We start from the raw sequence: 14,555 nt of genomic DNA on the forward strand, positions 1-14,555 counted from the left end.
GAGCCAAATCATGAGTGAACTCCCATTCACAATTGCTACAAAGAGAATAAAATACCTAGGAATACAACTTACAAGGGATGTGAAGGACCTCTTCAAGGAGAATTATAAGCCACTGCTCAAGGAAATAAGAGAGGACACAAACAAATGGAAAAATGCTCATGGATAGGAAGAATCAATATTGTGAAAATGGCCATACTGCCCAAAGTAATTTATAGATTTAATGCTATCCCCATCAAACTACCATTGACTCTTCACAGAATTGTAAAAAACTACTTTAAATTTCATATGGAACCAAATAAAGAAACCACATAGCCAAGACAATCCTAAGCAAAAAGAACAAAGCTGGAGGCTTTGAAATCACTACCTGATTTCAAACTATACTACAAGGCTACAGCAACCAAAACAGCATGTTACTGGTACCAAAACAGATATATAGACCAATGGAACAGAACAGAGGCCTCAGAAATAACACCACACATCTACAGATATCTGATCTTTGACAAACCTGACAAAAACAAGCAATGAGGAAAGGATTCCCTATTTAATAAATGGTGCTGGGAAAACTGGCTAGCCATATGCAGAAAGCTGAAACTGGATCCCTTCCTTACACCTTATACAAAAATTAACTCAAGATAAATTAAAGACTTAAATATAAGACCTAAAACCATAAAAACCCTAGAAGAAAACCTAGGCAATACCATTCAGGACATAGGCATAGCAAAGACTTCATGACTAAAACACCAAAAGCAATGGCAACAAAAGCTGAAACTGACAAATAGGATCTAATTAAACTAAAGACCTTCTGCACAGCAAAAGAAACTATCATCAGAGTCAACAGGCAACCTACCGAATAGGAGAAAATTTTTTCAATCTATCCATCCGAAAAAGCGCTAATATCCAGAATCTACAAAGAACTTAAACAAGTTTACAAGAAAAAAACAAACAACCCCATCAGAAAGTGAGTGAAGGATATGAATAGACACTTCTCAAAAGAAGACATTCATGCAGCCAACAAACATATGAAAAAATGCTCATCATCACTGGTTGTTAGAGAAATGCAAATCAAAACCACAATGAGATACCATCTCGCACCAGTTAGAATGGCGATCATTAAAAACTCAGGAAACAACAGATAGTGGAGAGGATGTGGAGAAATACTAACGCTTTTACACTGTTGGTGGGAGTAAATTAGTTCAACCATTGCGGAAGACGGTGTGGCGATTCCTCAGGGATCTAGAACTAGAAATACCATTTGACCCAGCAATCCCATTACTGGGTATATATCCAAAGGATTATAAAACATTCTACTATAAAGACACATTCACACATATGTTTATTACAGCACTGTTCACAATAGCAAAGACTTGGAACCAACCCAAATGCCCATCAGTGATAGACTGGATAAAGAAAATGTGGCACATATACACCATGGAATACTATGCAGCCATAAAAAAAGGATGAGTTCATGTCCTTTGCAGGGACACGGATGAAGCTGGAAACCATCATTCTCAGCAAACTAACACAAGAACAGAAAACCAAACACTGCATGTTCTCACTCATAAACGGGAGTTGAACAATGAGAACACATGGACACAGGGAAGGGAACATTACACACTGGGGCCTGTGGGGGGTTGGGGGTTGGGGAGGGGGAGGGATAGCATTAGGAGAAATACCTAATGCAGATGACAGGTTGATGGGTGCAGCAAACCACCATGGTACATGTATACCTATGTAACAAACCTGCATGTTCTGTACATGTACCCCTGAACTTAAAGTATAATTAAAAAAAAAAACAGAAAAAATTAGCCAGGCAAGGTGTTGCATGCCTACAGTCCCAGCTACTTGGGAGGCTGAGGCAGGAGAATCGCTTGAACCCTGGAGGCAGAGATTGCAGTGAGCCATGATCGCACCACTGTACTCCAGCCTGGGTGACAGAGCCAGACTCCCCCTCAAAAAAAAAAAAAAAAAAAAGAATTTGAAGCAAAGTCACTTGTGGGGAAAGAATGTAAAGAAAGCACTGGATGATAGTTTGGCTAGAGCATAATAATTGGATTTTCTGGCTTTCAAAAATTTGGATTGTAATAAAAAGAAACTTTGTGCTACTTTTACAATTTTCAGTACAAATAAATGTGTGTATTGAGAAACAATAAAATTAACATATTTGAGTACCTTTTTTAAAAAAAATGAGGGATGGTAAAAGGATGTAAATGGTGGGAAGCTTTCTACACTTCACTCACACAGATCAAATGGCAACAAACAGTGCTGCATCTTGACTGCAGGAGTAATGACACAAACGTACACCAATAAAAATGGATTCAAACTATACACAACACACTGCACCGGCACCAATTTCTTGGTTTAATATTGTATGATAGTTAGTTACATAAGATGTAACTATTAGGTTGGGATAATAAAAAAAAAGTTCTAGAGATCAAGGATGGTGATGGTTACATAATACTAACGTACCTGATGCCACTAAACTATCTACCGAAAAATGATTAAAATGGTAAATTTTGTGTTGTGTTGTGTATATTTTATATTTATTTTAAAAATGTAAACCACTTTTGGGTAAACTGGGTAAAAGGTATGTGAGACTTCTGTATTATCTTTACAACTTCCTGTGAATCTATAATTATTTCAAAATACACATTTAAAAAAATAACTGTGGCAAACAAAAAGACTCTGGATCTTCTGGAACAAACAATAATTTTGAGAAGATCATGTACACTGCTAGGTGGCTTATCCATGAGCCCAGTCAGTCCCAACTACCCTGGAAGATATGTAAGGCTCAGAAAGGTAGAAGGAGGCAGCTCCCAGAGGCACACACAGAATGCAGCCCAGTGAATGTGCCCATCTCTGCTGGGAGGGAAGTTTGGGATCTGAAAGGCTGGCTATGGACCCCACACCTTTGCCCAGTACCTTCTATACCAGCTGGTGGGGAGGTTTGGGGTCTGAAGGGCTGGCTGTGGACCCCACACCTCTGCCCAGTACCCTCTACACCAGCTGGTGGGGAGAGGCAGGGTCTGAAGGGCTGGCTTCTGCCACACCTTTGCCCACTGCCTTTCATACCACCTGTACTCATTACCTGCAGTGACAGCCTCACCAGCCCAATGCCAGCTTCCCCTTAGCGATGATGCTGCTGACACAGTAGGCACTCCATAAGTGCTAGATGATCTGATTATTACAAAATGATTAACCATTTATCAATGCCCTCAAGAAGACAAAATGCTACATTATGAGACTAGTACATTACTCTGTTTAAAAGCTCTAGATTAAACATCTCTTACTTCTTCTCCTTGATTAGTATAAATCATCCTCCCTGCTTTGTAACTATCTTTTACTTGTATTTATTAACTTTAGAGAGAGTACAACCACCAAAACTAAGATCCTATTAAATTATCTATCTTATGAGGAGAGGAGTAGGGTGGCAAATTCTTTCTGAGTTATACTTTTGTTTTCTTGTTTTTCATTTGCCCTTAAGTTATTAATTTAATAAGGGCCAGTAGCTTCCCAATAGGAATGGAAATATTTTAACAACATAAAGCCAGATTGCTGTCACATCCAGCGGAATCAATAAAGTCTCATATGTGCAGCTGAGTACAGTTTAAAATATCTTTTTTATATATTCAGGAAGAGACTCAGGTTAGAACAAACATTTTCCTTCCATTTAGCTCATCTTGCAGAACTTTTAATCAGCTGTGAATAAACTATGTCATCAACTTCATTACCGTCATTATACTTAGGGAAAACTTGCTGTAACCAAAACAATGGCATTGAAAGAGGAAGAAGCCGATGAGAAGGGAGGTTAAATTAAACCCTCACCATGAGCTGGCACCAGCAGAGGCTCATACGAGGCTTATTTAATTCTCACAACAATCCTGTGAAATAGGTTTTATTATTGTATTTCCTCAAATCTAAGACAGCATCTACTTTAGGGAGCACGGATATTTTACATACCACTAAAAAAGATAAAAACGCTGCCAAATAAACTCAGAGACACTAGCTTCTCACCACACCAACTGTAAGCTGCCTCCTGATCTTAGAGATGCTAAAATCTAAGTCTGGCCGGGCACGGTGGCTCATGCCTATAATCCCAGCACTTTGGGAGGCTGAGGCAGGCAGATCGCTTGAGCTCAGGAGTTCGAGACCACCTAAGGGACATGGCGAAACCTGTCTCTATCAAAAATACAAAAAATTAGCCGGGTGTGGTGGCGCCTGCCTGTGGTCACAGCTACTGGGGAGGCTGAGGTGAGAGGATCGCTTGAGCCTGGAAGGCGGAGGTTGCAGTGAGCAGAGATTGTGCCATTGCACTCCATTGTGGGTGACAGAGTGAAACTCCATCTCAAAAATAAAATAAAATTAAATTAAATTAAATTAAAAAGTCTTTGAATCAATGAAGTTCAGAAACATTTCCATATAACTGGGCAGGCTGGATGTTAGCTGGGGAGAGAGCCTGGCTCCCAACCTCGGCTCCCTCCCCTGTAAGGCCCTTTTTCCCCACTCTGCACACCGTACACACTCAGGCTGTAAGCCTGGCTTCTGAGCTCACTTCTATGGCAGCACAACAACCCTACTTTCAAGGGAGAGGAGATAAACATTTCCTGAGTACCAGAGGCTTTCGTACTCCCTCTCACATTTGATCTGGACAAGCTGGGTTGCTGCTAGCCCTTAAGGCACCTCTGTGAGAAATGGACAAACGCACCCTTCCTTAAGACACTAGCACCCCCTGTCAGAAAATGGTCATAACATATTGAGTTTGTTGGAATAATACGCTTTGCAGCCATTTGTAGAAAACTCATAATAAACATACAAATTCACTATGTGAAATGAGCCCCCTTAGAAGTGGCTCCCTTGGGGGCATGGAGGATACAAAAACAAAAGAAGAAGTGGCTCCTTTGTGCAGTGTGTAACCTGCACAGCTGTACACAGTAGCTCTGCTAATGTGTCAGACACAAAGATATGATTATCCCACGTTACAGATGAGAAAGCTATAACTTGCCTAAGAATCAAATACAGGCCTGTATGGTTCCACAGCTACTTGATGAATCGCAAGGAGCTTAAAAATTAGGTAGGAAAGCAGGTTGTATGTGTGCGCATCTACATATGAACATACTAACCACAGGCCACAGAAGCACGTGTGGAGAAGGCAGAGATCCCTGTGGCTGGAGCACCTGGAAGAGGTTTGTCAGAAAAGGGGAAGTTGAACTGCTCCAGGAGGTGGCCAGACAGCTGGAGGAAGGAAAGGAGAAGGGAGTGGAAGCCACACAGCCAGTGGGGGCAGAACCAAGAGCCTTGCCTGTTGGAAGAGCCTTGAGTGTGGAAAGAGGACAGGTTAAAGGCAGGGCAGGCACACTGAGAGCTGTGGCGGCTCCACCAAGAGCCCCCCGCCACAGACCGGTACCTGGACAGGAAATGGATGCAAGAAGCTCCTGCCCCGCAAGCAGGAGGCCCATCCTGGAGGTCTGGAGACAGGGGGTGGGGCACTTAGAAAGCCTGCTCTGTCTGATGGGGTAGCTGCCTCCCAGGTCTAGTCAATGGAGGCCCAAATATTGAATTTGTAGTTGGAATCCCCTGATTTTTAAGCACTGGCCATCAAATAAGATTTTTCTGGGAAAGAAAAAAAAGAAAAGAAAAAAACCTCTGCAGCCCCTGCAGACCAAACTAAGCAAATCTGCAGGTTAGGTCTGGCCTACGGGTTGCCAATTTGCAACTTCTGATAAAAAGCTTTCCACTTGGGTGACTAGGGGAAAGCTGTTAACTTACAGGGGAAAAGCCAAGGAAACTGGTCTGAAAAAAACAGAGACACACAGACCACGAGAAAGAGAGAGTACAGGGACATTGAAAGGGACAGAGGAGACGACCCAGCACCTTCTGCCCATCCACCCAGCTCCCTAACACCCCATACCAGTGCCTGGCTTGGGTAAGTGGATGACAATTAGTGTGATTTTTCCAGTTTGGAGATTTTCTCTGAGTTTTTCACATCTTACACAACAGGAATTACATGTGTAATCCAAGAAAAATTAAATTTAAAAAAACACTTACATGGGTGTTAGAAATAAAGCGATAGCAAGTGACAAAATAATAAGATCTCCATCTTACAGGAGGAAGACTTACTGATCCCCAGACAGCTTGGGCCTCAGACACGTCAACTTGTCTTGGTCAGGACCAAACACTCATTCAAGACCGAGATCAAGGCCAGGGCTGCCCACACCATAGGGACACGCCAGCTCTAGACACAGCTGCTGGGTTCCTGGTATTTCTCCTTGACGTTGATTAGATGTTTGACTGGACAGGGTAGGGATATGTCTTACACTTCTCCCTTCCTTTATGTAATAAAGGTATGTTTGATTGATAAAATGACCCAAAAAATAAAAGAAGACAGGAAACTAGTTTAACCAGTAGCAAGATAGATTTAGATTACGTGGGGAAAAGGCATTCTTGGCACAAAAGTTTCATTCATTGCAACGAGAAACTTGGTAAGTGTGGCAGGTGTGGGCAGCCTAACCTCAAAGTGCCAGATTCCAGAACTGCAAATGTGGGGGCTGGGTGCGAGGAGTGCCCAGGTGAGCAGACAGCCCACCAGGATTAGAGGAGGCCAGCCAGGAAAAGGCACAGGAGCTCCCAGAGCTGGTGTTCTAGGAGTTTCCACGTGTCAGCCATGGGAAGGAGAGGAAGACATCAAGACTTCATGGCACAAAGTGGCACCCCCACCCTCCCCTGCCCCAGCCACTAGCTGCAAGGAGGTGTTTACGCTGCCTCCTGTTGGTCACACAGACGTTCCTATTAGTGACCACACTGGACCCTCCCTGCTGTCCTGTGAAACAGCCCAGTACATGGTGTCATCCCCATCACCACCACCACCGTCACCATCCCCTTTTTACAGAGGAGAAACCTGGGGCTCAGGTTAGTGAGCTGCCAAAGAGCCCCCAGTCAGATAAATTAAAAAGCCAGAACTTAACCAAGACCCACCAAGTCGACCACCACATCTGCCCACCCACCTGGTACCTAGCCCTGCTACAGGAAATCGCTTGTTATTTCCTGTAATGCTCACAGTGAGCAATACTGTGAGGAATGCAAGTCTTGGTCTCCCCAGCCCACAGCCAGCGTCATGGTTAGAGGGACATTTCAAATGATTAATTACAACTAAGAAAAGTAGCTACGTGGAGAAGGGGACTCTGCTGTGTTTGTTATAATTTACTACAGCAATTCATTTCGGGGAGCAACAGCTGGAAAATAACAGTATGCCAGATATAAGTGATACCAACCCACCCCAAACCACATACTTAATGAGCATGCCCACTGCACAGGTTGGCAGCAGGTCCAGAACCAGGGAACAGCAGACCACCAGGTAAGAGGCAGACAGTCTTTTAGCAAAACAACACCGGGAGTTACTGTCAAGCAGAAAGCACAGACCTTCATCAACGGGAGGGCGACATATACGTGCTAACATCACCCTCCAGTGGCCCACCAGGGCACTACATCTGACTAGGCCATAATTTTAAAAAACATGGCTAGTATTTACTGATTGCCTAACTCTTGGCTGGTGCCTTCCCCGTCACCCCACTTAACCTTCACATTAACCCAGTAAGTGAGGGGCTGCTGTTCCCATCTTAAGACGAGTTAAGTGGGCCAGGTAGGGGATTACAAGGTGATACAGCAGGTGGGCACACAGCAGGGCTACAACCCAAACACACATCCTTGGCCCAGGACCAGACCCCGCTGCCCTTCCTAGGTGGAGTCACTGCTGCTGCTGGTCCCCAGAGGGGGTGCAGCTGCCCTGACAGCTCAGGTGCCCTGGCCAGCCCCAGCAGGTAACTCAGACCAACTCTGACCACAGATTGGCCGCCACCTGGCCAATTCTCAACCTGAGTAAGTTATTTTCAACTCTTATGGGGCTTTCCCGTGTATGCCCACATTTCTATGTGACAGAAATGACACGGAGAGGAATAAGCCTAACCCAGGGTCCAGGTGGCATGCTTCCACTGACATGGCTACAAGGAAGGCACAACCACCCTGCCCTGAGTCCTGGTTATCCTGGGTTGGGGGCTGGGACCAGAGACTTCTGGGGTGCAGGGGAGTTCTGCTTCCAGATGTGATACTGGTTACTCACTGGTTATGCAGTGAGTTCAGTTTGCGAACATTCACTAAGCTGTTTATCCTATGCATATTTCTCTACATGTATGTTACACGTTAATCTAAGAAAATGTGAACAGCAAATTTTAAAGGAAAAGATATAGGGAAAAAAAACGATATTCTGATTCACAAGTGAACCTCTCATTTAAAACAACATAGATCGGAACACTATTTTGGCCCTCGTAGCTGTGTGACCCTGCGCACACACACTTGGCCTCTCTGAGCTTCAGTTTCCTTCTGCACAGGGCTGCAGAGAGGACGGCAGGACATCACGAAGACGATGTGCCTAGCTTAGTGCCTGGCCCCTCAGAGGCACCATTCTACATGAAGCATCATGAGGGGTACCCACCTTGTCAGAAGCCCAGGCCTCCCAGCTCCTAAGTGGCTCTCACACTTCCAATGGATGGATTCTGCATACGTCTCTGAATTTCTTTATCCCTCATTGTCTCTTCTGAAAGAAGAGCAGCCCAAATTAATAGTGGCCTTGGAGTGTTTGAAAGTGGAACCTAGTCTTCAAGCCCTATGCAGAGGCTAACGTGCAGAGAGACAGAGACAGCATCTTCAACCAAAGCAAGGGTGTGGGGCAGACCCACCAGCACCCACCTCCCCTCCACCCTGCAGGGACACAATATGAACCAACCCTCCTGCCTCCTGCTGCTCCCCTGCCCATAAATCATCTCCAAGGTGCCTCCCTTCCAGCTCTGATGCTCAGTGGGCTGAAGCTCCAATAAATGCACACCACTAATTTGTGAAATGATTATCATGCATCTCATAAAATGCTGATGAACATGCCAACTCCCATAGCTCACACAGTTAACGTGTTTATTAAAGGCAAGAGAGAAATCCCGTGGGTGTTTCTTTGCTGAAGCTGGATTAACAAAATAAAATGAGAAATACTCAGCATCAGCTATAATTAGGGCTGGGCCAACAGTTGCATTATAATTTTATGCATACACATCTCTTCCATGTTGAAACTTGGCATAAATTCTTTTAAGTTATTTTTAAGCACTCTCAAAATGAGAGCCCCTGGGCAATGGAATACATTCACATTTAACACAATAATCATAGCTTTAAAATGTGGCCCTCAGGAAAGCACCACAAATCATTTTACATAAACAGGAACAGCCCCCCACCCCGAGAGCAGATGTGTGGGAAGCGCTGAGGGTACAGGAACACCCCCTGTCCCGCTGCAGACCCTGGACACGACAGCTCCCCATTTGCAAACTGACGAGGTGGCCCTGAAGAGCCGCCTACCCACAGCTCTCAAGTGATGCCTCTAAGTAACCAAGTCTCTGTGGTCATTTCCACATCAAAAGTAAAAGGAGCAAAATCCTCTCCCATTTTCTAGAGTACTGGGGAGAAATAGCAATGCCCATCACCACCGCACATCCGGGTTGACAGCTGTTGGTCTGCGTTGCTTTAGTGTATTTCTGTTCCTCCGTGGGGCAGGCCTGCCTCTCGTCTTGTTTCTGAAGTAAAGGGCTGCCTGAAAGCCAGCCTCAGCGCTGAGCTCGGCTCAGAAGCCCTGGTTCAAACCCCATGGCATCAGCCACTTCAGTGTGACTGGAGCCACCTTTCCCTTCCTGAATCTGTAGGGACTCAGCTCAAAAATGGAGATAACCACAGCTGCCCTGGTAAGATTGATGGGCGGTGGGGGGGATCTTGTGGTGGGGGTGTTATGTAGGGGAATACTGGGAAAAAAGGGCTTTGTAGACTGCTAAAGATGGTGTCGATGCTGAAGAGAACAGAGAATTTTTTAAATCCAGAAACGTTCAGCCAGACAGCTAAAGCTACCTACTGGGTCCCTAGTTGCTTCTGCTGTCCTTTAACACACATCTATACAAATACACATACACACACATAAAACATATACATGCGCACACATGCACCCGCAAAACGTGTGTACATACACAAATGCACATACAGCACACATGCGCACACAAACATACACTTTCTTCAGGGAAACCAAAGACACAGGCAATTCAGAAGCTTTTTGAGAGACAATATAAACAACACAGCAACAATAATGACAGAAAGTGGAAATCAGGGATCCAAATCCCAAGAACTGAGAAAAGAAAGAGCCACGAGAAAGGGGAGAAGGAAGGTGGAGGAAACAAAAGGAAGAAAAGGAGCCAGGACTTGGGTTTCCAGAGTTTGAGCCACAGCAGGTGCTTGGAGGAGCTGTCAGGAGCCCTGGGAGGGAGCAGGGAATTGTCACCCAGTTCCAGCTCTGGAAAGACAACACTCGTTCAGGGTCCCACACATGCCACCTTCGACTTCCACCCTCTCCCTCAGGGGCCTCAAATTCTACCCGCATTTTCTATCCCATCGCATCCTCAACCCATCAAGAGAAGGAAGAGACCAAATAAGAGCTTGCTGCAGCCTCAGGGAACCGAGAGCTGCAGGAGGTGGGATTCAACCCATTTGTTCATGAGACGTGTCCAGCCATGGTTTCCCCACTCTGCTTCCTGGGGTTTTCAAAATGCAGGAGTTTATTCCAGTGAAGCACCAAGCACAGTGCCTGGCACACAGCAGATGAAGGTGCTGCCTGCCCTTTTCCCTGTTTCTGCAGTTTACTAACATCACACTGAGGTAGAAGGCAGGCAGGATTCAACTCCAGACCTGACTGAAGACTGGCCAGAACTGGGAAGAGGGGCCTAAAGCACCCCTCACTGCCCATCACCATAATACACGCCCACCAGAGCGTAACAGTTTACCACTGCAATGGCAACACCCAAAAGTTACTGCCTTGCCATGGCAATGCCGGAAGTTACCACCCACTTTCTAGCTATTTCTGAATAATCTGCCCCTTAATTAGCACGTCATTGAAAGTGGGTATAAATTTGGCCGCAAAGCACTGCTACTCTTGGCGCTCTGCCTACGGGGTAGCCCTGCTCCACAGGAGCGGTAACACTGTCACTGCCTCAATAAAGCTGTTTTCTACTACCACCGGCAGCTCATTCTTGAATTCCCTCCTGAGCGAAGCCAAGAACCTGCCCTGCATCAACACCATGGTGGGTGAGAATTCCTGCCAGACAAAACCCAAGTCCTTAGAAATGCTGACTCTACCCAGCCTCCTTCCCCTAATTCAGGGATGTTTTAATTCAACAAAGATGTGATTCGCATACTACGATAGAGAGCAGAGGGAGCCATGAAAGAGAAAAACAAGTAGCATTTCCAGCAGTCAAGGTATTCAATCTACCAGGTGAAACAGGCTTGAAAACAATATAGAAGGCCGAATTCAGTCAACAGCTACTTTTTTCTTAAAAGGTACTAGGCACTATTCCTGGAGATGGCCCCCACCAGGGACGCCTCCTAGACTGGAGGACACGGACAGATGCGTGACTCTGCACAAGGACACACACTCCAGCCCAGGCCTGTGAAAGCACGGGGCAAGAGGCTGGATGCTTTGTCCAGGCCACTGCTGTCCAACAGATACACAGCATGGCCACTGATGTCATTTAAAATTTTCCAGTAGCCATATTAAAATAAAATAATCAAGAAAAAATAATTTTAATGATGTTTTCTTTAACCCAGTATATCCAAAATAGAATCATTTCACTTACAATCTATTTTCAAAGATCAATGAGAAATTTTAAATTTTGTGTACTAAGTCTTCAACAGCCAGTGTGTTATTTTTCACCTACAGCACATCAAAGTTTGGACTAGGCATGAACCCAGTATTCACATTATTTCCAGAATACCAGGCAACTTTTCCCTGCAGACGAGAGAAATGTAATACACAGGTTCTACTCCCTGACCTCCAGCGGGGTAGGAGAAGGCTTCCACCACCCCCAAACTCTTTGAGATTCAAGAGTTAGGAAAATCGAGACAAAGAATTAGCAGACTTAGAACCTGCAGACCAAGTCCCTGTCCGCACTGTTACAGGAGAGGCAGATGACGGACGAATATTTTCATTTATTATTGTCACAGGTTTAAAAGCTGACTGTGTGCTCAGGGATCCTGAGGTCTTGATCAAGGAGATAAAATAACAGGCTGGGCAGGAACTGGAGGCAGATGTGGAAAACATACAACTTCAATTCCAAATGTCCGCTTTATGAAAGTCTGAGATTGGCCTCAGTTATATTGGGCTCAGTTATATAAAATGTTCTGATTTTCAAATTAAATCCTGAAGAATGAACTTCCCCCTAGTATTTACATGTGTCTAGGGTCTTTCCAAATTCCAGAGTAGAGCTTTAAATTTAAGGAAGGAGAGACACTGGGAAAAGAAGAATTCTCCAAACCATCCCCTCAACCCATCCCCAGCCTACCAAAATGATCTGGCCCATTTTTCCTGGTAACCAAAATACAAAATAAATATTTAATGTATTCTCCAAATATCTGGGCTGTTCAGTTTTTATTAGGAGAAAAAAGCAGAATTCTTTGAATTTATGTGCATTGGCCTCATAATTCAACACTAAATGAATGCCTGACATCTGTCACTCACCATGCTAGGTGCAATCAGAAATGAGGAAGACACAGACTCTCCCCACCAGGAACATAAATAAGCAATTCCATTTTGTTCATGAGAATAATTTTACATGACTGTGGTGTTATTTATAATCTAGTTTTGTAGACTCTTGCTGTTGGAAAGGACAGAGTGTCCAAGTCCAGCTTCCCAGCCTGTATCCAAACAAGGTCAGAAAGTCCTACCTGGCCCTCCCCTCGATGCAGAGGCATCACTGTGGTCAGCTGCCACCTGTGTTTACATCACTGGGAGCCACAGAAAGGCTGCCCCCCTTTTCCCTCACCATGCTAGGCTAGTACAGCCTCAGGGTGACCCTGGCAAGGCCAGTCCCTCCCATAGCCAAGTGCTGTAAGCATCTGAACAAGCTATCCAGTGGCCCTGGGTCTTCTCTCCTGCAGGCCTGGCATCCTGGCCCTTCAGCCCCATGCTCAGGCGGGGCTCAGGTGGTGGCCAGGAGGCCAGTCTCCGCTGCAGCGGGCGCCTCCACGGACACAGTGTCTCCCAAGCCACCTGTAGCAGGTCCATTCACACACATGTCCCCTAGGGGGCGATAAAAGACAAACGAGAACTCTGGCCACAGGGCAGCTTGTTCTGGCCTGCAGGCTTGCAATTTTGCAAGGTGAGGAGGACGGGTAAGCAAGCACCTGCTCGCTGGTTTTCAGACTTTATTAATTCAGGAACTTCATTCTTCAAGTCTCAGCTCCATCCTAGCTTTCTCAGAGAGACTTTTCGTAAATCCCCTTCAATATTAATGAGGTCTCTGGTACTCCCTCCTGCTTATTTGCCTTGTAATATGACCACGATTTGTAATCATGTATTTAATGCTGTGCTTATTGGTTTAACCTGTCTCCCTCAATAGATTGTAAGCTCCAAAATCATCAATATCATTTAATTCAAAATATAGTAAAGTGCTTTAAAAGATCCATGTTAAAGCTATAAAAGATATTTACCTGCATTTCCTTTATCATGAAGACCAGAACATTTCCAGAGTGTTCACTTAAGAAACCCTGAGAATAATCTGAACTAACTGAACCCTCCTGGGTTCAAGCAATTCTCCTGCCTCAGCCTCCCAAGTAGCTGGGATTACAGGCATGCACCACCACACCTGGCTAATTTTGTATTTTAGTAGAGACAGGGTTTCTCCATGTTGGTCAGGCTGGTCTCGAACTCCCACCTCAGCCTCCCAAAGTGCTGAGATTACAGACGTAAGCCACCGTGCCCGGCCTGAACTAAGTCATTCTTAACGCTCATTTTCTAGAAAAGGAAGATGGTGTGCCAAGGAAGAAAGATCAGGCTCAGGGTGGGAAAGCCCCCAGTCCAATCCCCAGCAGAGGAGAAAACACAACTTCTCTGACTCTCTGACTCTTCATCTATAAAATGGGAATAAATGCAAATCAGAATGGTGATTTGAAGGAAGAGAAACCAGAACCAAGACAAAGCACTGGAAGAAAGACTCTCGCTGAAGGGTTTCAGAATCCAGGTGTCAGCAGGTGCGCCCCAGCCCTACCTCAATGGGGCAAGTCCCTTCAGGGCCATGGCCGCCCAGGACTTCTACTCCTTCCTGGAAACTTACACCCTCAGGCCTCTGCCATTCTCTGTTCATGCCCCACAAACAAAAAGAAGCGAAACTCAGTCCTTTCACTGAAATACGCTCACCTCCAAAATTCACCTAGTCAAAGGATGAAAGTAAATACAATAAACAAGTATGGGAGGAAATCTTAAAACAAAATACAAACAAACAAATGAACAAAACCATACTTTAAATGAATAACCATAATTGCACTGAAATAGGAGACGATCAACCCAAGTAACTTTGGAAGCTGCTGTTTACACCAGATGCCTCGGGCTAAAGAGAAGAAGAGCTCTAATTAAATACTGAACTCTAGGTAGCAGGCTTCTTTTTCACAAAGACATGGTTTCCTGATTCTGAAACTATTTTTAGTATAGTCCAGGA

At 44.9% G+C, this 14,555-nt stretch overlaps 1 protein-coding gene across 11 annotated transcripts in view, besides 6 other annotated features; it reads right to left on the bottom strand.

Annotated features, from left to right (window-relative positions):
* The window catches only part of ZFAT (zinc finger and AT-hook domain containing), a 354,552-nt gene that overhangs the window by 200,523 nt on the left and 139,474 nt on the right, over positions 1-14,555 (bottom strand). Inside the window, exon 2 of one of the 11 annotated variants that reach the window (XM_047422063.1) lies at positions 8,483-8,584. The exons of the other annotated variants lie outside the window; for them this stretch is intronic. The gene's annotated coding sequence lies outside the window, so the exon portion shown is untranslated. The remainder of the gene's footprint in view (positions 1-8,482; positions 8,585-14,555) is intronic. 11 annotated transcript variants of the gene reach the window in all.
* Positions 4,625-4,774: an enhancer, noted in NCBI's record as "active region_28017". NCBI's record gives its function as "activates an Ori minimal core promoter by ATAC-STARR-seq in GM12878 lymphoblastoid cells {active_cell/tissue: GM12878}" and the evidence as "EXISTENCE:reporter gene assay evidence [ECO:0000049][PMID:35858748]".
* Positions 5,405-5,494: an enhancer, noted in NCBI's record as "active region_28018". NCBI's record gives its function as "activates an Ori minimal core promoter by ATAC-STARR-seq in GM12878 lymphoblastoid cells {active_cell/tissue: GM12878}" and the evidence as "EXISTENCE:reporter gene assay evidence [ECO:0000049][PMID:35858748]".
* Positions 7,254-7,755: an enhancer, noted in NCBI's record as "H3K4me1 hESC enhancer chr8:135697807-135698308 (GRCh37/hg19 assembly coordinates)". NCBI's record gives its function as "activates a minimal SCP1, AML or CMV promoter by ChIP-STARR-seq in primed H9 embryonic stem cells {active_cell/tissue: H9 hESC(primed)}" and the evidence as "EXISTENCE:reporter gene assay evidence [ECO:0000049][PMID:30033119]".
* Positions 7,756-8,255: an enhancer, noted in NCBI's record as "H3K4me1 hESC enhancer chr8:135698309-135698808 (GRCh37/hg19 assembly coordinates)". NCBI's record gives its function as "activates a minimal SCP1, AML or CMV promoter by ChIP-STARR-seq in primed H9 embryonic stem cells {active_cell/tissue: H9 hESC(primed)}" and the evidence as "EXISTENCE:reporter gene assay evidence [ECO:0000049][PMID:30033119]".
* Positions 8,335-8,501: a silencer, noted in NCBI's record as "fragment chr8:135698888-135699054 (GRCh37/hg19 assembly coordinates)". NCBI's record gives its function as "represses an EF-1alpha promoter that drives an FKBP-Casp9 reporter gene in an ReSE screen in HepG2 liver carcinoma cells {active_cell/tissue: HepG2}" and the evidence as "EXISTENCE:reporter gene assay evidence [ECO:0000049][PMID:32094911]".
* Positions 13,291-13,410: an enhancer, noted in NCBI's record as "active region_28019". NCBI's record gives its function as "activates an Ori minimal core promoter by ATAC-STARR-seq in GM12878 lymphoblastoid cells {active_cell/tissue: GM12878}" and the evidence as "EXISTENCE:reporter gene assay evidence [ECO:0000049][PMID:35858748]".

The sequence above is a fragment of the Homo sapiens genome, chromosome 8 (assembly GCF_000001405.40).
Source record: "Homo sapiens chromosome 8, GRCh38.p14 Primary Assembly".
Lineage (NCBI taxonomy): Eukaryota > Metazoa > Chordata > Mammalia > Primates > Hominidae > Homo > Homo sapiens.